Here is a 27,009-nt window from a genome sequence, read left to right as displayed (position 1 = left end):
CAGGAAAATGAGGCCCTTGTTTCCACAGTGACAAGGGAATGAACTCTGCCAACAATCCGACAGAGCTTTGAAGCAGGTCCTACCCAGTTCAGCCTCTGATGAGAACACAGACCCAGGCAACACCTTGATTTTAGCTGTTTGGGACCCTAAGGCAGAGGCCTCAGCTAAGCCATGTTTAGACTCCTGACACACAGGAATTACAGGACTATCTACAGAACCCTTAGATAATAAATAGGTGGTGTTTTAAACTGCTAAGTTTGTGGTTTTTGCTTATGTATCAATAGATAACTAATACATTTTCCCCCATATTTTTCACCAGATCAAATGCCCTGTTGTTAGTTAGCATCTGATAAGCCAATGAGTTGAAGTAGGAAATTCTCTTAATCCATATGTATGCAAAAGTTTGCTATAAAGGGATAAATAAGTCAGCATTTATGGGCCAATGATATATTAAAAAGTGTGTGAAAAGCACTGGCCTGAGATTCATGTTCTAGGTTCCAGGCTTAACTCTAACATCTTATGTCATTCTCATCTTAGACCTTTCTATTTCTTAACTTAAAAATGAAAATTTTGAATCAGGCAAATCTTAAGCTCCACTGTAGTTGTAAATTGTATTACAGGGTTTAAATTTACAGCTCTAAGAACTAGAACTTTGTTAGCTCTAGTTAACTGTTAAATAAATCTCTTGTTTGTTTTGGAATTCCTGATGCTCATAAGTGTCTGGTTGGGAATAAAAGGGCCTTACTTAATGACTGAAGAGAGCACATTAACTTCTCAGTAGAAACCAGCTGTTTAATTTACATAATATTTTTAAAATCTCATCTTTTTTTTTTTAAGCTGGGAGATCTATCAGCAGGAATATGACAATTTAGGTACAGCCTGTTAAGTATAAATAGATTTTCTCCATTCATTACCATATTAAAGAAAAGAGGAACTTCTTTCCAAGCTGAAAAATGTGAAATGTTTTGGCCTTTATACATTTCCTGTCCAAGAAAAAAATTAAAAAAGAAAGAAAGAACAAAAGAAAAACAAAACAAAAAAAAAGAAGATCAATCTATTTGGATTACACAAAGAATAAAAATAATTTTATTTATTTTATTATTTAAAAAATATTTTGTGCATCCCAATTAGAGTAGGGAATCTTTGTTGCCTTACTTGCAGTTTATAGTTCGTGTAAAAGAGCCTATCCAGTAGGTGTCAGCAAAGTAGTCTTACAAATCCTCACAAGGGGCTTCTCCTATTAGCTTTATAACCACTGCTAAGTAAATTATAAGAACTTTTCTTTCTACCGGGAAATATGTTACATCAGTGTATCTACAATTAAAGAAAAGAATGAAGAAAGAAAGAAATAAATTTCCTGATAGAAAAAAAATCTGCTTTCTTCTCTTCTTTTTTGGCCCCACGTAACAAAAAGTGCATTCTGAGATATCATAGAGAGAAAGAGCCTCCTGGTTTCGGATATCGTAATAAAACAGGAGATCATGTGTACCTGGGTAGCACTCACAGAAGATATTATGATGTTGCGAAAAGGTGTTAAGACGTATGTGGGTGTTGGGTATGTGCATATCTATCTCTCATAGTCGGAGAAGCCCAGATGGTAAAATCTGAGCTGGAAAGTTTCTGAAATAAACAGCACAGCCACATTAACAACATCATTTTGAAATATATGGAACTTAAGAGGAAAATAGAACAGATAAGTATAATGCTAACCTAAGGTGGAATGTGTGTTCCTTCTTCCCTTCCTCTGAGAGAGGCCGTGGTAAGGGGTTGTGAGAAATCCTAGCACAACCAGAGGGTGTCCTGTGGGAAGAGGAGAGAATAGGTCTTAGAGAGGAAAGGAGAGCTTGTTTCTCAGGAAAGATGTGTAGGCTCAGAGGCGGCCACATTCCCAAGGAGGACTTGGAAAGTATCCAGCCTGATCACAGGACTGAAAAGGAATTACATTACAGTGGGGAAGATGGACTAACAACCATGGAACATAAAGAGAAGAGAAGCAGAGTAGAAATGAGGAAATTTATTTCTTTTTTTGGTTTTATCGAATTTTAATTCAAGTATAATATAGGTCAAGAAAGTGCATGTATCTTAAGTGTAAAATTCAATAAAATGTATATATATTAATACATAGTCTACAAATACGTACTAATAAAGATAAAATTTGCCCTACTGGCAGAAGAACTCTGAAGGAAGAAGAATGGAGAATTGAAACAGAAAATCAACTTTTCAAAAGAGGTTACACTATAACTTGCAAAAGTAGAAAAGTTGGGCCAAACCAAACCAAACCAAACCATCCGGTGTGTTGTAGACTAGATTCAAACTCCTTGAACTGCAGCCTATTCAGATCTGTGTATTTCAAGACAATGGGGTAAACTGACCCAACAGTGACTCCAAAGGGATCCTGTGTTCTAAAGATAAGATGCCTGACTGTTCCAGACACTCCCCAGTTTACAAATTCAGACCATTCCCTGCCTGTCCTGTCCTGTGGTTAATTTCAACATCAAAAACATTAAGAACACGGCTTGACTAATTCTTCTCTTCGGAGACATACCACAATTTACCATAGTGTTGATCTCTCTTGCTGCAGCAAGTAAGAAAAGTAACTGTTCTCTACAGGTGTGTTCCTGGTAATCTCTGACTCAGAGGCACCAACATACATCAACGCTCCTGTGTAAAGCTCACTCAGATTGAGAAACAACATTGCCAGCACCCCCGAGGCTTTTTTGGCCCCTTGCAGTTATTACCATTCCCTGTAATAACCAGTATTCTGACTTCTATCATTATGGATTTTTTTTTACAAAAATAAAATCAAACACATGTACCTTTTTGTGTCTGTCTTATTTTGTTCAGTATTATGTTTTTGAAATTCCTCAACTTGTGTGTGTAGCATTAGCACATTATTCTCATTGATGTATAGTATGCCAGCATATGAATATACCACCATTTATTTAGCCATTCACTGTTGGCCATTTGGGTTGTTTCCATTTGATGCTAGGTCAAATAATACTGCTCTGAACATTCTTGTACATGACTTTTTGTGCATATATGCATGCACTACTTTAGTTGTGTGCCTGGGGGTAGAATCATAGGATCTCCATTTGTTTAGTTCATGGTTACTGGAAAACAGTTTCCGAGGTATTTATCCCAATGGATACTTCCATGAGCACTGTATGAGGCAGTAGTTTTCATCACTCTCATCCTATTAACATTCCAGATGCCTGAGGCCTGTCCTACAGCAATTAAATTAGAATCTTTGTGGGTGGGGCTAGAGACTCCTAGTTTTTAGGTGACTCCTAGGAAATTCTAATGTGCAAATAGGGTTCATAACCACTGATGTAAAGAGGTCCCAGGATCAGTAGCACTGTACCACAATGGGAAAGTCTACCTTATGGAGAAGGGATTTAGATACTCAAAAGGCCTCCAACCCTGGGCTTCCTAATGCCTCAGAAACACCCAACATGAACTGAGTTGAGTAGGATCTATGTGCGTAGGATCTATGTGCCGGTACAGGGGTCACACTTTGACAGCCACTTATCTAAAGCAAGCCCAGGGTAGGTATTCTTTCTGTGCTTGGTGAATGATGTAAGTTTAGCATACTAGCTCTAAAAGGGAAGCTTTTTCACTTAATCAACTCTGATAAATTAAATAGTACTTCAGACTAGAAATTTTACATCAGAAACAAAGATTGGTAATTCTACTCACAAGCTATTAGTGAATCATTTGGAGAAAGAGATGCCTTATAATCTAAATGGAGTTACATTTCTACAAAGGATTCTTTTAGATATATTCTTCATAGTTCAGGCTGATCCCTATTTTCTCTAACTTTCTTCAGTAGTTTTAGCCATTCTGTGATGGTGTGATGGTATCTCCTGAGGATTTACTTTGCATTTTCCTGATAATCAATGATATTGAGCACCACTTCACATATTTGTTACCTATTGATATCTTTTTTTTTCTGTTTTGAGACGGAGTCTTGCTCTGTCACCCAGGCTGGAGTGCAGTGGTGTGATCTCCGCTCACTGCAACCTCTGCCTCCTGGGTTCAAGCATTCTCCTGCCTCAGCCTCCAGAGTAGCTGGGACTACAGGCGTGTGCCACCATGCCCGGCTAACTTTTTGTATTTTTTTAGTAGAGACGGGGTTTCACCGTGTTAACCAGGATGTTCTCTATCTCCTGACCTCTTGATCTGCCAACCTCAGCCTCCCAGAGTGCTGGGATTACAGGCTCGAGCCACCGCGCATGGCCCCAGATACTTTTTTTGATGAATTGCGGATTTGTAGGAAGGCTTTGGGATTTAGTTTGAATGTTAGATCTGGATTTGAGCCCTAGATTTGTTGCTTACTAGCTGTGTGATATTAGTTGGAGCTGGGACCATCAGTCTATTAGAGAAGCATTTAAGAGAACAAATTTTACAACAGTTTATGTGCAATTTCAATGTTAATCCAAAATCATTTCATATATATACATAATATATAATATATAACCTGCCTTGGTTTCTAAAAATCTCTATTTGACAAGGCTCTGTTAGATTTTGCTTTCCTGAATTCTGAAAATCTTTGGGTGCTAAGATGTACAGCTCATGGTTCAAATTTTTTGTTTCCTGACAACCCTTAGAAGGCTTTTTGCTCCATGGAGTCACCCCTCCCTTAGGCCTATTTTCCTCCTGTCTTCTGTGATCAGGAAACTGGGGATTGGAGAAGTGGAACAATCTGGTTGAGACCCACTGCTCTTAGAAAGTGGTAGTGTATGGTATTCAACTCAGGCCTGCTGGGTCCGAGAGAGTAGACTGACTATGCACTAGACCATGCTGCCTCTTGATAGAGCCCCAAGGTTTGAGTTGGAAAGGATTTCGTTGAGCGACTGCTAAGTGTGAGACACATTTGGGCATTGAAATACCATGCTATAGACTGTAGTCCTTGTACTATGTTCTCCTTCCTACGACGTGCATTATGTAAATATTTACAATCACCTGATATGCCTAACTGCACATTTACTAAGCATATATTATAGGCATGATAAATACAATAATGAATAAGATACACATAATTCCTCCCCACATGGAGCTCACTACAAACAACTATTTCAAAAGAGGTTTAGAAGGCCCATAGAAAGGTATTAGAATAGATACATATCTGTGTGTTATTTGTGTGTGTGTGTGTGTGTGTGTGTGTGTGTTTTGCATAAGTACAAAATGAAGGACTATTGAACTCAGGGTTCTACCCCTCCTTGCCTCTTCTCAGGCCTTACTTGATCTACTGTTTCAAAATTTTTCTTCCACCTGACTTTTTCTCATCATTATTTAAGCGGCCCAGTTTCTCCCCTCTTTAAAACAAAACAGTACCAATGACAAAACCTCCTTCCATGACCCTGCACACTCCCACTGGAGGGCAGGGGAGGTGAGGTAATGGGGAGCAGTGTCATGGAAGAAGGGTGCAGGGTTCATGGAAGGAGAGTGTAGGGTCATGGAAGGAGGGTGCAGGGTGATGGAAGGAGGGTGTAGGGTTATGGAAGGAGGGTGCAAGTTAATGGAAGGAGAGTGCAGGGTCATGGAAGGAAGGTGTAGGGTCATGGAAGGAGGGTAAAGGGTCTTGGAAGGAGGGTGCAGGGTCATGGAAGGAGGGCGTAGGATAATGCAAGGAGGGTGTAGGGTCATGGAAGGAGGGTGTAGGGTCATGGAAGGAGTGTGTGTAGGGTCATAGAAGGAGTGTGTGTAGGGTCATGGAAGGAGTGTGTGTAGGGTCATGGAAGGAGTGTGTGTAGGGTCATGGAAGGAGTGTGTGTAGGGTCATGGAAGGAGTGTGTGTAGGATCATGGAAGGAGTGTGTGTAGGGTCATGGAAGGAGGGTGCAGGGTCATGGAAGGAGGGTGCAGGGTCATGGAAGGAGGGCGTACGATAATGCAAGGAGGGTGTAGGGTCATGGAAGGAGGGTGTAGGGTCATGGAAGGAGTGTGTGTAGGGTCATGGAAGGAGTGTGTGTAGGGTCATGGAAGGAGTGTGTGTAGGGTCATGGAAGGAGTGTGTGTAGGGTCATGGAAGGAGTGTGTGTAGGATCATGGAAGGAGTGTGTGTAGGGTCATGGAAGGAGGGTGCAGGGTCATGGAAGGAGGCTTTCTCTTTGGTATTGTTGTGTTTGAAAGAGGGATAAACTTGGATGTGTAAGTATTTCCTGCCTAAGCCTCTGGAGAGCACATCTCATCCCAATTCCTCATGGTCCCTTGGTCTTCAATGCGATCAGCCTACCCCTGTGGGTGCTGCTAGTTTTCTGAGACAACAGCAGTGGTGCTGCATTGAAAGCATGTTCCTCAGGCTCCACCTTCCTCATTTCTCAGCATCTCATGACTTAGCTGGACATGCCTTCATTCTTCTTGCCAATTTTTCTTCTCCAGTTCTTCCCATGACTTCTCAGTCTTCCTGGGTTTTTTTGTTTTCAGTTGGTCTCTCAGGATACTATCCTAGAAGTTCTTCTCTCTCAACATACTCTCCATAGGCATCATCTCACTCCAGGATGACACCATCAAGTCTCTATCTTCAGCATCTATGACTCACAACTGAGATTCAGTCCCAAATGTCCAACTGTCCACTGGATATCTCCATGTAGACATCTGACAGGACACCTCAAACATCACATATTCCAAGTTAAATTCATTATCTGCACCCTTTGTTCTGTTTACTCTGTTCCCTAAATCAGTGAGTAGCACCTATATCTAAGAAGTTGTGAATTATCCTGGAATCTTTTCTTTCCTTTTATCCCCCAAATCAAACCAGTTGCAAATTTTACCTCCTGAATTTTCTCCCTACCTCTCCACCATTGTATGGTGGAGACTCCTGTACTAACACGCTTCCTAAATGTTCTTCTGGCCACCAATATTGTTCCCACCAAAACTAATTTTCTTGCACCAGCTGGAAATTTGTGTCCTAAAGGGCAAGTTGGTCATGTCCCTGCTATGTTTAGAACACTCCAAAAGCTTTATAATCCTCAGGAGCAATTGTAAGCCCTTTATCTTGACTTGTGAAACCATTTCTTATCTATATCTGGCTTACATGGCTTGCCCCTCTGTCCTGTCTCCTCTCATTTTCTTTCTTTTGAAACAGAGTCTCACTCTGTCACCCAGGCTGGAGTGCAGTGTTGTGATCTCAGCTCACTGCAACCTTGGCCTTCCAGGCTCAAATGATTCTTGTGCCTCAGCCTCCCAAGTAGCTGGGACTACAGGCATGTGCCACCATGCCCGGCTAATTTTCTTTTTATTTTTAGTATAGACGGGGTTTTGCCATGTTGGCCAGACTGGTCTCGAACTCTTGGCCTCAAGTAATCCAACTCCCTTGGCTTCCCAAAGTGCTGGGATTTTAGGTGTGATCCATCATGTCTGGCCCCATCTCTCCTTATTCTTCCCTGAAATCATAGTGATCCTATTTATCTTTTTTTCAGCCCTACTCTTTCTTTTGCACGGGGGCTTTTCTCTTTTGTAACCCTTGCTTCTTCCTTCCACACCCCATGATCTTACTCACTTTTATTCATCCTCACTTCTCATCTTAGCTCCCATTTCTCTAGAAAGAATTCCCCCTTTTCTCCCAGCCAGCTTGAATTAAGTGACTCATCCATATGTTCTCACAGCTCCTAATTAATTCTGCTCAGAGCTATGACTTAAAATTCACAGTGTGATTACCTGTGAAGGCAGCCATAGGACCGTGTTTATCAGGCTCCTTATTTCCCCCTAGCATCTAGAACAGTGTAGAAAGAATGTTTAAGGATTATATGTACATAAAAACTCCTCAAATATTTCCACATAAACTTTTTTTTTTTTTTTTAAAAAAAAAGCCAAATGCAAGAGTTCCTGAACTGAGGGGTAATGCTTCTATAGTGATGTCTCCCAGACACTGTTACTTTCTGGCTATTGTTATTTCATTCCTGTAGGTCTCCTCTTAATCCTCTGTCTTTATTTCCCAATTCTCCTGCAATTAGAGAATCATGTGATAAATTGTAGGACAAACAAACAAACCAATATATTTTTGCATTCTCTGCAAGGAGCAAAATTGGAGACAAAATTCTCTATGTTCTGTCATTCCATCAAAGGACACAATACAAAAAATGCCACAGGATCTGGTCTCTGATGTTGACACCAAAAATTGCTTTGTGGATAAGCTGTGTGTGGCATCACATAATTGCATACTTGTAATTTCTACATATTTCCAGGAATTCAACCATAAACATTTAGAAATATGGCTAATATCCTTAATTTTAACTTTCCTCTAATTATAGCGCTTTAATTGCTAATTGTGATTGTCCAGAACTTTTACACAAGCAAGAACTTCCCAAAGGATTTTCTGTGGAAACTAGTCCCTTAAGCTGCTCATCTAGACAACAGTCCTGTATTTAATAAGTTTGGGAGCTATATGTCCTCTTTTCTTTCAGCAAGTCACAATACACATCAGCCTAATGCAGGCTCTGTGATGTGTGCAGTCATCTCAGCATCTCCAGTCCATTTTCAATCATAAAATCCTTTTTTCTGTAAATTTATTAATTTGCTGAAGAATGTAGTTTAAATAAATTGATTTTGGCTTCTTATTTCTGCCTTGTAGCACTCCCTGTGCTAACCAGATTCCTACCTTTATTAGCAACTGTATAAAATAATAATAGTGACAGTAGTTAATATTTATTGAGTGTTACTGTGTCCATTATTCTAAGTACTTTATAGGTATTAGCTCATTAATCTTTCCACCTATCCTATGAGGTAGATATTATCATCATCATCCACCTTATATAGACAAGAAAACTTAGGCACAAAGAGGTGAAGTATTTTGTCCAAGATCACATAGCTGTTGAGTAGTGGAGCTAGGATTTGAACCCAGGCAGTTAGATTTAAGAATATGGGCTTAGTATCATTTCTGGTGACTTATCTAACCTTATTTCCTTTTACTATCCTGGATCCTGCACAGTACCTTTCAAATGGTAGGTGTATTAGTCCATTTTCACGTTGCTGATAAAGACATACCTGAGACTGAGCAATTTATAAAAGAAACAGACTTAATGGGAGGTACAGTTCCAAGTGGCTGGGGAAGCCTCACAATCATGGTGAAAGACAAGGAGGAACAAGTCACATCTTACATGGATGGCAGCAGGCAAAGAGAGAGCTTGTGAAGGCACAACTCCTGTTTTTTTAAAACCATCAGATCTTGTGAGACTCATTCATTATCAAGAGAACAGCACAGGGAAGACCTGCCCTATAATTCAATCACATCCCACTGGGTTCCTCCCATGACACATGGGGATTGTGGGAGTTACAATTCAAGATGAGATTTGGGTGGGGACACAGAGCCAAACCATATCATTCCATCCCTGGCCCCTCCCAAATATCATGTCCTCACATTTCAAAACCAATCATGCCTTCCCAACAACCCCCCAAAGTTTCAAATCATTTCAGCACTAACTCAAAAGTCCACAGTCCAAAGTCTCATCTGGGACAAGGCAAGTCCCTTCTGTCTATGAGCCTGTAAAATCCAAAGCAAGTTAGTTACATCCTAGATACAATGGGGGCACAGGCATTGGGTAAGTACATCCATTTCAAATGGGAGAAATTTGCCAGAACAAAGAGGGTACAGTCCCCATGCAAGTCCAAAGTCCAGTGGGGCAGGCAAATCTTAAAGCTCCAAAATGATCTCCTTTGGCTTCATATCTCATATCCAGGTTATGCTGATGCAAGAGGTGGGTTCCCATGGTCTTGGGAAGTTCCACCCCTGTGGCTTTGGAGGGTACAGCCTCCTTCCTGGCAGCTTTCATGGGCTAACATTGAGTGTCTGCAGCTTTTCGAATCAAACAGTGCAAGCTGTCAGTGGATCTACCATTCTGGGGTCTGGAGGGTGGTGGCCCTCTTACAGCTCCACTAGGCAGTGCCCCAGTAGGGACTCTGTGTGGGAGCTCTGACCCCACAATTCCCTTCAGCACTGCCCTAGCAGAGGTTCTCCATTAGCGCCCTGCCCCTGCAGCAAACTTGCCTGAGCATCCAGGCATTTCCATATGTCCTCTGAAATCTAGGTGGAGATTCCCAAACCCCAATTCTTGACTTCTGTGCACTCGCAGGTTCAACACCACATGGAAGCTGCCAAGGTTTGGGGCTTGCACCCTCTGAAGCCACAGCCCAAGCTCTCCACTGGACCCTTTCAGCCATGGCTGGAGCAGCTGGAATGCAGGGCACCAAGTCCCTAGGCTGCACACAGCACAGGGACCATGGACCTGGCCCACAAAGCTATTTTCTCCTAGGCCTCCAGGCCTGTGATGGGTGGGACTGCTGTAAAGGCCTCTGACATGCCCTGGAGACATTTTCCCTATTGTCTTGGGGATTAACGTTCTGCTCCTTGTTACTTATGCAAATTTCTGCAGCTGGCTTGAATTTCTTCTTGGAAATGGGTTTTTCTTTTCTACCACGTTGTCAGGCTGCAAATTTTTCAAATTTTTATGCTCTGCTTCTGTTTTAAAACTGAATGCCTTTAACAGCACCCAAGTCACCTCTTGGATGCTTTGCTGCTTAGAAATTTCTTCTGCCAGATAACCTAAATCATCTCTCTCAAGTTTAAAGTCGCACAAATCTCTAGGACAGGGCAAATTGCCACCAGTCTCTTTGCTAAAACATAACGAGAGTCAGCCACATTTGTTCCAGTTCCCAGCAAGTTCCTCATCTCCATTTGAGACCACCTCAGCCTGGACCTTATTGTCCATATCACTATCAGACTTCTGTTCACAGCCATTCAACAGGTCTCTAGGAAGTTCCAAACTTTCTCACATTTCCTTGTCTTCTGAGCCCTCCAAACTGTTCCAACTTCTGCCTGTTACCTGGTTCCCATTTTGGGTATCTTTTCAGCAGCACCCCACTCTACTGGAACTAATTTACTGTATTAATATATTTTCACACTGCTGATAAAGACATACCTGGACTTAGCAATTTACAAAAGAAAGAGGTTTAATTGGACTTACAGTTCCACATGGCTGGGGAAGCCTCACAATCATGGCAGAAGGCAAGCAGAAGCAAATCACATCTTATGTGGATGGCAGCAGACAAAGAAAGAGACTGTGCAGGCAAACTCCCATTTTTTTTTTAAACCATCAGATCTCATGAGACTCTTTCACTATCACGAGAACAGTGCAGGAAAGACCCACCCCCATAATTCAATCACGTCCCACCAGGTTTCTCCCACAACACATGGGAATTGTGGGAATTACAATGCAAGATGAGACTTGGGTGGGGACAAACAGCCAAACCATATCAGTAGGCTTTTATGAATGTTTGATGCTACCTGAATCATCTAGCATTCTGTCTTTGACAAAGAAACCAACTTTCATCCCATCTATATCATTCCTAACAATGTAGTTACCTAGAAGAAGCCAAAACCATCCTCCTCCAACTTTGTTACCTAATTAAGGAAATAGAGCAGGAATTATATTGTAGTATATAGCCAGCACATGGTGGGCATATTTGAATAATCTGTCAGAATGTAGATTGAAAAACATGCTATAGTCATAGGTCACAAAACAAACACAGACATCACAAAACAGACTGCTAGAGAATGACAAACATTTGAATATAAATTAAAAGGAGCTTTGCAGACACAGCATAACAAAAAGCCCAATTAACAAAACTAACCATATGCTACCACCAGAATGGTTGGACACAGTGTAAAACACACATGCACATTAAATGCAAAGAAATCACAGATGAAACAGCTTCATCAGAGAAACTGGAACCACTGCCAAACCTAGATGCTGCAGTGATAAAAGGGCTTCTTTATAGAGTCACTTTAAAGGTCCCCCAATAAAATAGTTATCAAAGTTACATACATCCTGAAGCCCTGAACAAATACAGGTAGAAACTAAAGCAAAACAATAAGCTTTTGGAGCTGTTTTATTATTTTCTTCCACAATGAATAACCACATACCTTGATTTATTTGTAACATTTTTAAAGGTATTACAGAGTAGAGGTGAAGAGCATAAACTTTAGAATCAGGCAGGCTGAGGTTTAAATCCTAGCTGTGCAATGTGCTAATGGCATAATTTTTTTCCATAATGTTTAGTCTAAGTGACAGTACATATGGAAATGGGAATAACAATATTCTTTACACTTCTTTACACTTTTATCAGGATTAACACTGATGATGTACCCAAAGGGTATAGCATAGCATAGTGTTTAGCACAGAGTAAACATTTATTCTGTAAATAAAAGCTGCTATTATTTATTTTTTAAAGCTATACATATTCTAGGATGCAAATTGGAATGTATATTTTGAGCTGTTGACTGTTTAATTTTAACTGAGCAGAAAAGATTTCCATCTTGGAGAATTCCATCCCTGACATTATATTATTGTAACAATAGTGATAGTGATGGGTCATAAAATATTTCAGTTGTTCACTTGTTTGTTCATTCATTCATTTATTCATCTGTCCATTTCATTCAACAAACAGTTCCTAAGCATCCTTTAGGCTCAAAATGCACTGTCCTAGGTGCTGAAGATACAGAACTGACTAAGACACAACATCCGCCATCAAGATGCTCCAAGATTGGGGGGGAGACATCCAGAAATAGAAATAATTGTGATACATAAAGTAAGTAGTAAAATAGATACAGGTTTTGAATATTGTGAGAGGGGCATTCGTTCTGTCAGGGGAGGGGTGCTCGGTGAGGAGTCATTTATACCAGAGTTTGAAGGATCTGTAGTGGTTTCAGGAAGAAATAGGGATTTGGAGATGTTTGAATTTGTTTATCGCAGTTATTGAATAGTAGACCATCATTTTCTGGGACTATTCAGCTAACTTCTAACCGCGTCATGAAGGAAGGAAGAATTTTCCAACTTTCTTCGGTTTATTACTCCTCCCAACCCCAGGCCTTGAGAGAACTCCACAGTGTTTAAAATGTAGATATTTAAAATGTAGATCACAGCGTTTAAAATGTAGATATTTAAGAAAGAATGTGGACTTGGGAGTTTTCTAGATTTGGGTGTGGCTTTTCTTACCCTTCCAAATGTACTCTACATAGCTCCCCAGATGACCCCAGCAGGGTTGAGCTCGAGTTGCCAGTGGGCTTAGCCTGCACGCACACACTCTGTATTGGCCTCCTTTCCTTCCTGTCTCTCTATTTCCTCCTCTACTAGTGCTTCTGGGATCACTTCTAAAATAAGCTATTCACACTCAGACCCTTACATGAGGATCTGTTTTTAAGGGAACCCAAGCCAAAACAAGACCTCTCTGCTTGATTGCACATTGTCAACTTGGAGTTACTGAACCCATCTAAGTCTGTGAACTATGTTTCCCAGAATCCCCTTCCATGTATGATTTTAGGATGGACATTTGGAAAATGGAAGTGACCAGAAAGCATTACTCTCAGAAGGCCATGTCAGCCAACATAGTGACAGACCAATGCAGCTGTGCCTAGCAGGCCTCAGCTTCTAGATTCCAACTCCTGGCCCCACCAACAAACAGCTCCAATGCCAAAACCAAGCACTAGATAACATTCCTTCTGACCATTATGGTTAGTGACTTATTCGGATTCTCCATCTCCATCTTCCAGACCTTCACTTCCCCAACTTTTCCTACATTTGTTTGTGCTCTAATTGCTATAGCGAGCCTCTTATTACCATAGTATTTTAGTGACTCTGTTTTCCTGACTGACATCTAACTCTAATTCATAATAATTCAAAGAGCTAATATGGAGAGTTTTTAGTGCTCATCTTATACCAGACACTGGTTTGAGAACTCTGCATAACAACTCGATCAGTTAGGATTAGTATTGTAATTATTTCCAATCTATAGATGAAGAAACTGAAGGACAGAAACTCTAGATCAATCGGTTCAACATCACAAAGCCAATAAGTGATGGCACTGAAATTCAAACCAGGCATCTGACTTCAGAGCCTGTGGTGCAGCCAAATTTCTACCTCCCCACTGTGGTCAAAAGAAGGTAAATTATTCCATACTTCTACCAGTTCTCTCCTCATTCATTCTTTCTCCCCTGGTTAAATCCTCCTTGGCCTGGGTCCATGTCATGGGGACCATGTACAAGTGACCCTTGGGAGGATGCCTCCCATAGGACAAGTGGTATAGTTGGAAATTTCTATATAATATACACGATGTACATTTATTGAAAATATGTCAAGTCCTAGTGTGATGGCTAATGTTATGTGTCAGCTAGACTGGATTAAGAGATGCACAGAAAACTAGTAAAGCATGGTTTCTGGGTGTGTTCTTGAGGGTGTTTCTGGGAAAGAAGAGCATTTGCAGGGGTAGACTGATCAACGATGATCTTCACCAGTGTATGTGGACACCATCCAATTTGTTGAGGGCTGAATAAAACACAAAGGCAATGAAATGACAAATTAACTTTCTCTTTTTGAGCAGGAATATCCATCTTCTCCTGTACTTGGGTATCAGTTGTCCTGGTTCTCGAACTTTCAGACTTGGACTGAGACTTACACCACTGGCTCCTCTGTTTCTCAGGTCTTTGGACTTGGACGACCCACAACATTGGCTTTTCTGGGGCTTCAGCAGCTTGCAGACAGCAGAGTGAGGCTTCTTAACTTCCATAGTCATGTGATCCAATCCTTCATACTAAATCTCTTGCTATATGTATCCTAGTGGTTCTGTTTCTCTGGAGAACCCTAATATACTCAGGTCCATACAAAAACCTTATTTATTTGTCTGCTCTCATGGTGCTGATAAAGACGTACCCGAGACTGAGTAATTTTAAAGAAAAAGAGGTTCAATGGACTCAAAGTTCCATGTCGCCAGGGAGGCCTCAATCATGGTAGAAGGCAAAGGAGGAGCAAAGGCTCATCTTACATGGCGTCTGGCAAGAGAGTGTGTGCAGGGTGACTCCCATTTATAAAATCATCAGATCTCATGAGATTTATTCACTGCCATGAGAACAGTACGGAAGAAACTGCCCCTCTGATTCAATTATCTCTACCTGGCCTCACCCTTGACATGTGAGGATTATTACAATTCAAGGTGACATTTGAGTGGGGACACAGAGCCAAACCATCCCACCTTACATGCATTATTTAATGTGATATTCAAAACAACTTTATGGTATAGATTTTTAAAAAATATTTAACTTTCTTCTAGAACTGAGGTTTGTAGAGGCCAAGCAGGTGTGCCAAGTGAACACACCAGGTACGTGGTGAAATTGGGATTTGAAGGTTGGCAATTGGCCTCTGCAGTGTACTCCGCTAATCTGAACATGCTTCTCAAATGCACGATTTAAATTGTCTTTTAAATCTGATGTCATCAAATATCTGAAATGGTTACATTGTATTGGAGCAGCTGAAAGCAGACTAGGAAAATCACATGAAGTGCAACACTTTATTTGGGCTATCAGTAAGTCATTCTAGCATGAAATCCAGGGACTCAAGAAAATATACTAAAATTGAACCACAACTCTCCCTGCCATAGCCAACTACTTATTTTTTAAGTCTAATTTGAAAGTTTGAAAAAATCTAATGTAACCTCTCAGAAATCTGTTGCCTTAAGTAATTTTTTAAACATCTCAATTTCTCCTTTATAAAGAAATGGCTATCATATTATTAATTTGAAATGACTGACTTGGCAAAGCATATCACAGTACCTCTCTCCAGAGAGTAGCAGAGCACAGCAACTTTGATATGTGCTGGGAAGTGCTGAGGGTTTGTTTACTGACAACAAAAATGATGTGCTAGTTATTATATATGTGAATCCCATTTGTTTTATTTTCCCTTTAAAAAAATTTTTTTATTGTAATTCATTGCATTAACTCCTAGTCTTCCTGGATATCACTTGTTATCCATGACTTGAATTATTCTACTGAAGGATGCTTTATCATTTTAAGAAAACCAAGTGTTAGAAAGGACCTTTCATTTCTATTTGGATTACTTATCATTCAATAATTAGCCACCCCTCCAGACAAGGAATTCAAAATGGGAGTTATGATTTGCCAAGGCATCTCACAGTTCCAGCCATTAGTGTTCACCCAGTTGAAACTACAAGACTAAAAATAATCCAATTAAGTGACAACAGTATATTTTGAATCAGTACTCAACAGATGGTAAAGCATCCCCCATTCATCATTAATTAATGTTCATTTAGCACCCATAGAGAATGACTCTGGGTTACTGTTTCCTGAAGGTAGAGATGAAACTTCTGCATTGGAAGATCGTACCATCTGGTTGCTGAAAAACCACCTTACAGGGTCTGAAATAATTTTGTAGAATAAATCATCCCTGGAAATGGGAATGTCAAGGACCTCAATAAATTTTGAGACCTTCACAGAAGAATTTTAGGGATAAAGCCTAAAATCTATGATTTTTCTTATTTAAGAAGAATTTAAAATTACAAATCTATCTCCCTCCTTTCTCTACTTAACATGCCAGCAGATATACTGAATGATTTCCCCTTCTTTTAATTTTGCCTTTATATTTTTTAAATGTTATGATTGTTTAGTGTGTATTTTGTATCTATTCTCTCTCCCCTGAGGTCTGTATGGCACTCCCAAACATATATGTGGGTAACATTTAAAGTTGGTAAAGTGACTCTCAAGCCTAATCAGTCTTCCTGAGAGAATATAAATTTGGTAGATAATTTGTGGAATGGTTTATCATAATTGAATTTCTGTGCCGTAATAAGAATGGAGTAGACCCATGCCTCTCTTGAGTGTCTCTTTGTTTATAATTCTCTTTGAGAGTAATGTTTTTACTGTATTCACATATCATAATTAAAAGAGCTTTTCCAGTGTTCTTAAAAATTTCCCACTGATGGAATACTCATTAAAACAGTTTGAAAAGTTAGTTTACTTATTTACTTTTAATAGCATTTTTATAGTATTTATTTTTGTGGACAAAGTGCCTTCCAAATTTAGACTTACACCTTTAAATGTATCCAATTTCTTTGTTTTCTGGTTACAAGCTATAACAATTTTAATTATCTATGGCAGCTAGTTGCCCATTCAACCTCCTCTCTCCCTAAATAGGAGATGGCAATGTGTTTAGCTAAAATTTATGATTTGTAACCCCTATTATAATCAGGAATAGACAATAAAATAAAAGACCATATATTAGGTGGTGGTTTTTAAGAATTCCCTTTAAAGGGGTTTACTCAGCTGGAATGCAGGCATATGACTGGTGTTCCAGCATCCATTTTCTTACTATGAAGTAATCTTGAGAATAGAAGTCACAAGCTGATGAAAGCAGAACAGATACTTAAATGGAGCTTGGATCATGATGGTCATACCAGTTCTGGACTGCTTTTATTTGAACTTTATGTTATATGTACAAAAAATAATCCCCTATTTTGCAGAATGCACTCTTATCTTGGATCAATTCTCTAACCTAACTGAAACATATTTTCATAGTGGAAGTGGGTTTGTATAGTGACCTACAAAATCCCTACTAGATATGATTCCATGATACCTTTCTGACACTATCTCTTGCTGGTCTCTCCTTTGTACATTCTATTCCAGCTACATGGCCTCTTTGGTATTCTTGGTATACATCAGGTATAATCCAGCCTTCAGTATTTTGTACCTGCTGTTCCCTCTACCTGGTGTACGATTGCCCCAAATGTTTACTCAGCAAATTCTTTCATGTCCTCCAGACTGTTGCACTTCTCTTTCACTCTCTCTATTGCTTCAACTTGTTATCCCCTGACATTTTATATCTCCCTTCCCCAATTTAATTTTCTCTCTTGCATGATCTAACATTGAGCATATTTTACTTTTTAATCTATTTTATTGCCTGTTTTTCTTCAGAATGTAAGCTCCAAGAGACAGAGATTTTTGCCTATTTCATTTACTAGGATAGAGCCATATACTAGGACTGCACATACATATTTGTTGAATGAATGAATGTGATAAGGAATTGGTTGACCAAGGGAGATGAGGAGAAAAAAATATTGAGACTCTGATTTGGAAAGCTGGAAAGCTGGTAACACACTTATTTTGTTTAAATAGCAGGAAATCATGACCAAATTTCAAATGCATAAGTGAAGAAGGAGATAATGCATATTTCCCTGATGAAAAGTATAAAGAATGAAGCAAGAAAATGCAGGAAGATGAGGGCCAATGAGCTCAACGAGAAGGGGTTGCTGTCGTCAAGGGTGGAGATATGCTTCTCTTAAGAGTAGGAATGAGAATACCTAGAGATTGAAGATAAGAGAGATTTTCATAATCTGGGGTGGAAATGGAGGAAACTCAAATCTGACAGTCTTAATCTTGTAAGAAGATCAAGATGCAGACAATCTGATGATTGTGAGGGAAGAATAGAGATGGAAGGATGGAGTGAGGGGGAAAAGTTTTGCAATATCCGCCACTGTAGGAAAGAGGAATAAAGCAGAACTAAATGAAAATTGCTACTGAGTGGTAGAGAAAGGCTGAATTGAAACAGACAATGAACATTTATAGTCAAGCCAATTGTCATGGTTTTATTTCTTATAATTATTAGCAGCTCATAGGCAGAAGCGGGAAATTAGCAGGAACAGGTGGTCAGCTTTTCCCACAGTTGGTAAATAGTAAGGTAGACATGGCAGAATGTCTGGGTGGTAGTGGTTGAGTAGACTGTTAAAATGGCATCCAAGTTGGGAAAGGTAAGTGGAGCTAGACCGAGAAGGATAGAATCTGAGCTGTGAAGACAGGACATGTCCTAAAGTCTCAGTGACTGTGGACTCTACCTCTGTCCTCAACTGAAAGTAGATTTGGACTTTCCATTATACTTCTTCTTATACCATACATAAAGTTTATATTCAAGGACTCAAAGTATTCTTTAACCCATTTGCCATTTGGACTGATGGATAAATGTGACCCAGTAGAAAACCTCTAGGACAAGATTTACGGTGCATACTCTCAGATACTCATGCCGGGAAAGACATACAGCTCATCCAATAAGAATTCTAGCATGCAGCTGGAGGAGAAACACTGCTCATTTCTGCTTGGTTCTAGGTGTGTGAACTTCATATTAACTCGCATTATTCCCAGCTCTCCTTTTTGTCCATGTGCTTCGGAGAAGCAAAACAAAGAGGTTGGGAACTTGGGCTCTGAAATCTGCTATCTGGGATCAAATCCCGGTTCCACCATTTTCTAGCTATGTGATCTAGAAAAACAAGGCATTTAACCTCTCTCCGATTCAATTTTCTTATCTTTGAAATGGGGGTGATGCTGGAACATACTGCATAGGATTATTTCAAGGATTGATGAGATCTGTGTAAAATATCTAGAAAGGGATCAGTGCATAAGTACACTTAATTACTTATGATAATAATGATGATGATGTTGGTATTAATGTGATAACTATAAGAATTCAATGGAGCCTGCAAAAAAAAATATATCCATCATTCCTCTAAGGTGGGGTAAATGAGATATGTGCCTTGTGAACATAGGCAGGGTAAAATTAATAATTAAGATTATAACAGCACAAATTATCGTGAGTACTACATGAATTAAATATCTGGCCTAGGGCTTCCCACAGAGCATATTTAGATAAAACAAACATAAACTTCCAAGAGACATCTAAATTGTTCAATGGCTTTCTAAAAAAAGATTCAGGTTAAAAATATTGATTCTCAATTCAAATCACTACAATTTCATTATAAGAAGATTAGCAAATAATTAAGAAAATTAAAAATATCCATAATCCCACTGTCTACATATAGTCATGAATAGATGCAAATAACCAGGGATATCTGGAAAATTTTGCCTTTTTTTACTATATGTCATACATTTATATTTTTATAAATGTTATCCTTTAGTGCTTCATGTAGGAGTGGCTCATCTGTGTGTCTTTGGCTGATACTCTGTGATACTGGTGACTGGGCTATTTCCCTTGGAGCCTGTTCCCTCTCTTCTCTCTCCTTTTTTCATATCTGTGCCTTACTGTACCTGTCATTACAGCAATCCAGAAATCTAGGGGGAAACTGTGGCTTTGTTAGACTTCTAGCCTGAGCTATGGGCTCCTGTCCAACCTCACCAGGAATTCTACTCTGGGAGTGTATCAGATGGTGGCCTGCTATTAATAAAGTGACTTCCATTTCTACCCTATTACTTATCATTAACCTCAGGGGGAAAAGCCAAACAGAGCATTCTTAGCTTCCTAGAATGAACTATCATTGAATACTATAAAATTTGACCCAGGTTCCTAATATCACATCCGTATTAACCTGTTCTCACACTGCTATACATAAATACCTGAGATTGGGTAATTTATAGAGAAAAGAGGTTTAATTGGCTCCTGGTTCTGCAGGCTGTACAGGAAGCTTGATGCTGGCATCTGCTCAGCTTCTGGGGAGGCCTCAGGAAACTTACAATCATGGCAGAAGGCGAAGGAGGAGCAGACACATTACATGGCCAGAGCAGGAGTGAGACAGCAGGGCAGGGGTTGGGGGGAATAGAAGGGAGGTGCCACACACTTTTAAACAACTAGATCTTGAGAGAACTCACTCTCTACCCGAGGACAGTACCGAAGGGATGGCGCTAAATCATTCAGGAGAACTCCACCCCTAGGATCCAATTACCTCCCACCAGGCCCCACCTCCCACACTGCGGATTACAGCTTAACATGGTTTTGGGCAGGGGCACACATCCAAATGATATCACCATCTAATCCCTGGCTCCACATAAACACCTTGTATGTTCAGCTGAATACGTTTCCTTTCTTTCTAACTGTAATGTACACAAAACCCTCAGCAGAGTAGCTGACACATTGTTAGTACTTAATCAATTTGTTTTAAGTACTACTTCATCCTTTTAAATATCTTAAATACAATAAATATTAGCATATCAATATTTATTTATATTTATCATGTTATTTATCTAAATATAAATATCAATATTCAACTCTTGAAACAATTATGATATACCATATCCTTTCAAATCATCAGTGTGTTAGAATTTTGGGTTATTCATTTTCTTAGATGTTTGTGATTACCCAAGGATCACCCACTGATGGAGGGAAAGGACCTAGGTAAGAACCTCCCAGGAGGGGATTTAGGACAGTGTACCTTTAAGATTTTTGTCAGTGTTGCCACATTGCATGAGGTGGCCTTTCGATTGCATACCATTAGGCATTCCACAACTTTTCACACAAAGTTCTTGCTTACTAAACTAATGATTAACCAAGTACAAGTCACTTTGATGGATTTAACGAGGTTCTAGCAAGAGAAGAAAATAAAATATTTTTCTAAAACATTACATAAATGAAAAAAATAAAAAGCTTCTGAAATCCAAGAATGACAATTTCATGGGTATCAAATTATATATTATATATAATTATGTTAATAATAGTGATAATGAAAATTGTGATGCTTTATATTAATACAGAACAATTTCTAACATTTATATTGTCATATGATTCTATAATATTCTTGTGATTTATAAGCAAATGAGGAAAAACATTGGGAAAGGAGTAATGATAAAAGTACACATTTGAATGCCTATGTTTCTTAACTGATAGAGTAAGCCTAGGTTTAAGATTAAACAATTAGTTTTGATAATCCCAACAGTATAGTTTTTCAAATGAATTATATTCAAAAATATTTCAGAATTTTTCAGGAAATGACAGTGCACTAAATATAATACATACCTAACCTAAAATATAGAATGACTTTAAATAACAATTTTATATTCTGAGCTTGTATGACAACATTTCAAAATAAGTTATAGTTTTTATGTGTAATTATAACTAGAACACCACAGCTATAAGGTATTGCATATTATCAAGACTTGACTTTACTCATGTTGAGACACAAGGTCAGTAATAATATTTTATGGTACCATGAAACATGCAAAACCCTCCTGTTTTCTGCACAATTATCTGATGTGCCAAATCAGGCAACACTTTAGTGAAAATCTTGGGATAGTAAGTCATCAGTAATATTAGCCTAGGATGTTTCATTTCCCCCGGGATCATCAAATTATTAACTTACTTTTTATATCTCCTTACAAAGTATTAAGTGCTTTATATAATTTGTCCCATTTGGTCTGCAGGAGAATCCTAGGAGCTAGGCTTGGCATGTTTTATAGGACAGTGTAGCATAGTGGTTAACAGCACAGATGCTGGTGCCAAAGTGCCTGCCTTTGAACCTTTGTTTTGTCCTCAGGAGCTTTGGGACCATCTGACTGGGGGCCAGTGGTCCAAACTGGAACAGGAGGATGGCCACTTCATAGTGGTAAGGGGTGACTGAGGTGCTAGACATGAGATGCTTGGAGCCCCACCTGGTTATGATAGACACTGGACCAGTATTAAGACACACTGCCTTGTCTTGCAGAGGAAGAGCCCATGCTCAGAGAGATTATATACTGCTTTTTCTAAGCATTTGCATCTTTTCCTTTTTGTAAGGTTGGCTCTATTTTTGTGAAACAAAGGGAAAGGGGCTGGTTAATGCAACAAAGAAAAAGAAAAAAAATTAAGAAATTGTACTTAAGTACAATTACTTAAGTGTATTTTCAAGAATCATTTGTTTAAGAAAAGCCTTCTACCTTGTTTACTTCTGTGATAATTTGAGTTGGTTATAGCCTGAGAGGGGTGGTGACGGGCAATACAATAACAAAAAAGCCCATATTTTAAGAGCTATCAACAAAGCAAATGCATTTTCATTTTCTACTTATGATATCAAAAGACTTTCCCTAATGATAGATTATTTCTATGATGACAAAGGCATTTTAATACAACTAGAAGCATTTCCAAGATTTTATTCTTCATTTGGCAGTGGCTGGATGGTGTTGCTCATATGTACTGCCTACATATATTTTTTTTCCAAGTTTATTCAGGCATACATAGAGAGTGATGAGATTTCCCTCTTCTTTATAGGGTTAAGTTAAAACTAAACAGCAGTCCTGGCATGGTGGCTCACACCTGTAATCCCAGCACTTTGGGAGGCTGAGTTGGGCAGATCACTTGAGGTCATGAGTTCGAGACCAGCCTGGGCAACATGGTGAAACCCCATCTCCACCAAAAAATACAAAAGTTAGCCAGGCGTTGTGGCGCACCTGTAATGCCAGCTACTTGGGAGGCTGAGGTGGGAGAATTGCTTGAACCAGACGGTGGAGGTTGTAGTGAGCCCAGATCACACCATTGCACTCCAGCCTGGACGACAGAGCAAGACCCTGTCTCAAATGTGCAGACATGGCGGAGACCAAGAATCACACCACACACAACCAGTCCTGAAAATGGCACAGAAACGGTATCAAGAAACCCCGATCACAAAGATATGACTCTCTTAAGAGGGTGGACCCCAAGTTCCTGAGCAACATGCACTTTGCCAAGAAGCACAAGAAGGGCCTAAAGAAGATGCAGGCCAACAATGCCAAGGCCATGAGTGCACGCGCTGAGGCTATCAAGATCCTCGTAAAGCCCAAAGAGGTTGAGCCTAAGACCCCAAAGGGTGTCAGCTGCAAGCTAGATCGACTTGCCTACATTGCCCACCCCAAGCTTGGGAAGCGTGCTCGTGCCCGCATTGCCAAGGGGCTCAGGCTATGCCAGCCAAAGGCCAAGGCCAAGGATCAAACCAAGGCCCTGGCTGCAGCTCCAGCTTCAGTTCCAGCTCAGGCTCCCAGAGGTGCCCAGGGCCCTACAAAGGCTTCAGAGTAGAGATCTCTGTCTGCCAACGTGAGGACAGAAGGACTGGTGTGACCCCCCCGGGCTACCGTCTGCATGGGGCTGGGATTCTCCTGTGCTATTTGTACAAATAAACCTGAGGCAGGAAAAAAAAAAACCAACTAAACAAACCAAAAAACAACAACAAAAAACAACTAAATAGCAGATATTAGGACATTCGAACTACTGGCAGCTTTTTCTAAGCCTTTGAGGTGACTTGAATGACAGTCAGTGATAATAAGCAATAGCTTTCTTCTCTTTACCCACAGTGCTGGGCAAAGGGTGATGGAGAACACCAAGAGAGAAGGTGTGTTTGTGTGGTGAGCTATTCAGTTTTATTTATCTTCTCAATTTCTAAATTCTATAAAGTTTGGCTCAAATTCTTACCTATTCTCAACCTATGAGTCTCAGTCTTGGCTACATTTTTAAAGTATTTGGAGTCTTATGTACTAATTAACAGATAATACGTATACATGATGTACATATATATTTATTAGGTTGGTGCAAAGGTTATTGCAGTTTTGCCATTAAAAGTATGGCAAAAACCACAGCCTAACACAAAAATCAGCCTAATACACACATATACATGTATATGCCCATACACCTAGACACCTATATGCATACACAGACCCTACCCTTTGATGTTGGCTCCAATCAACATCTCTACTAACTCTCTAACCGAATTGGCTTAGCTACCACTGTCTTTCCAGGCTCTCTACTTTCTATGCAGATATGTGCTTTGGTATAGCTATTCCCTCACTGGAAGCTCTTTCTCTTCCCTTTCTCTCTTCTCCATTCCTAACCCTCTGCGTGGAGCCTTTGATTGCCTTTGGACTTCCCATCAGCTTTTACCTCAATTCTCATTTTGGCTTTGAATTATGTAGGGCTTTCTACTTAACTGTTCCAAGCATATCTATCTTGCCTTTTCAATTAGACTAATGACCAGGTTGGTCTAATTAAATACAAGAGAAAGATATTTCTTTTATCTTTATTTTTTTCTAATGCCCAGAACTACATATATATCTACCATAGTGCCACATGCTTAGTAATCATTACTTGAAGGAATGAACTTCATCCAGGCTATCCACATTCATAGTTTAAAGGAAACACCTGTCGATCAGAATAGTTTTAGGCTGTAATCAATCTATTAACCACAATCATTACCTACAACTCATCTATTTTAAAACTAATTAGTTAAAATTTTAAATTGATGAATAAAAATTATATGTATTTATTATGTAAAACATGATGTTTTGAAAATGTATACTTTGTGGAGGGGCTACATTGAGCTTATCAACACATGCATTACTTCATAAACTTTTTTTTGTGATGAGAACACCTAATACTTACTTTTGGCAATTTTCAAGAATACACTGCATTGTTATTAATGATAATTACCATCTTGTACAGTAGACCTCTTGAACTTATTCTTATCTAACTAAAATATTGTAAGCTTTGACCAATATCATTCCAACACCCTCACCTCCCTCTGAAAAATCCCCGATAATCACCATTATACTTTACTTTTATAAGTTCAACTTAAAAAAATTCCACATATAAGTGGGATCATGTGGTATTTGTCTTTCTGTGCCTGGCTTATTTCACATAACATATTGTCCCCAAAGTTCATCTATATTATCACAAATGACAGGATTTCCTTCTTTTTAAAATGGGAATATCACACACCGGGGCCTGTTGTGGGGTGGGGGGAGGGGGGAGGGATAGCATTAGGAGATACACCTACTGTTAAACGACGAGTTAATGGGTGCAGCACACCAACATGGCATATGTATACATATGTAACAAACCTGCACGTTGTACACATGTACCCTAAAACTTAAAGTATAATAAAAAATAAAAAAAAATGAGCAATACATACAAAGCTCTGAGCAAAATAAATAAATAAATAAAATAAAATGGGCATAGTTTTCTATTGTAGGTATACAACATCTTCTTGATCCATTCATCCATTGGTGCACACTTAGGTGGGCTCCACATCTTGGTTATTGTGAATAATGCTGCAGTGAACATGGGGTTGCAGGTATCTCTTTGTCGTACTGATTTTATTTCCTTTGGATATATACCTAGTAGTGGGATTGCTGGATCATATGGTTGTTCTATTTTTATTTCTTTGAGCAACCTGCATACTGTTTTTCATAAGGGTTTACCAATTTACATTCCCAGCAGTAATGTGCAACAACCCATTTTTTGACTTTAACCATATAACCAATCACCTATGTAACCTTTCTTCTTGGATGTCTAAAAGGCACTGAAACCTGTCATTTGACCCTCTGACTACATCAAATTCCTTGTCAGATGCTCTTATATTTATATCTCCTTTAAAATTTTACATTTATTTGTGCAATTATTTGCTTAATCTCTGATTGCCTCATTGGACTATAGACCAATGAGGGCAGAGAATATGACTGTTTGGCTAACTATTCTATCTTTCATATATATCAGAAGGAAGCAATGAAAGAAGGAAGGAAGGAAAAAAGGAAGGAAGAAAGAAAAGGGAGGAAAGAAAAATAAAAGAATGAGACATGTTCACAGTCTATTGCTAAAACTTCAAAGCCTGTTAGTCCCTTTAGCTGTATGTTTTGATGTTTCTTTGCAGACTAAACTAATATTTCCAAACAAAATTGCTTTTAAAATTTAACACCAATCTCAATTTTCATTTCAAAATTGTGCCAGTTATTGAAAACGTTTTATTATTATGTGGTGTCACAAATGGTCTGGAAACTCCCTCAAACATGCTAGGCATTTAGTATTGGGTGTCTATGCCTGTCTCCTAAAGATATCTTATCTAGTTATTGCTAAACAAACAAAAAAGAAAAAAAGAAAGAAAGGAAAGAAAAAAAGCCTGAGAAAGTAATCATCATGCTGTGTGTAAAATAAGTGCAGCAAATAGCTCAATAAAATAATATTTTTAAAAGAGACTTTTTCATTTTGTTTTGTTTTGTTTAATGTCCCAGAACCTTCCAATTGAGAGTTAAAAGAAACTACTATAGTGAATAAAGTTGGTTAAAATTCAGAACAAAACCACAAATGCAGAAAAAAGAAAAGGGGTTGCGGGAAATTCAGATGTACATTTACATCCTAAACAATAAAACATACATAGAAATAAAAATTTCATTCTGGACTAGTACGAGACAGGGTCCTCCCAGATGGTCCTTGTATTAGTCCATTTTTCACACTGCTGATAATGATATACCTGAGACTGGGTAAAATTAAAGGAAAAGAGGTTTAATGGTCTCACAGTTACACGTGGTTAGGGAGGCCTCACAATCGTGGTGGAAGGTGAAAGGCACATCTTACCTGGGGGCAGGTAAGAGAGAAAATGAGCAAGCAAAAAGGGAAACCCCTTATAAAGCCATCAGATCTCGTGAGACTTATTCACTACCATGAGAGCAGTATGGGAGAAA

At 39.2% G+C, this 27,009-nt stretch overlaps 1 pseudogene; it reads left to right on the top strand.

Annotated features, from left to right (window-relative positions):
* On the top strand, positions 23,106-23,692 carry RPL29P13 (ribosomal protein L29 pseudogene 13; annotated as a pseudogene).

The sequence above is a fragment of the Homo sapiens genome, chromosome 5 (genome assembly GCF_000001405.40).
Source record: "Homo sapiens chromosome 5, GRCh38.p14 Primary Assembly".
NCBI lineage: Eukaryota > Metazoa > Chordata > Mammalia > Primates > Hominidae > Homo > Homo sapiens.
This window is presented reverse-complemented; position numbering and strand designations above follow the sequence as displayed.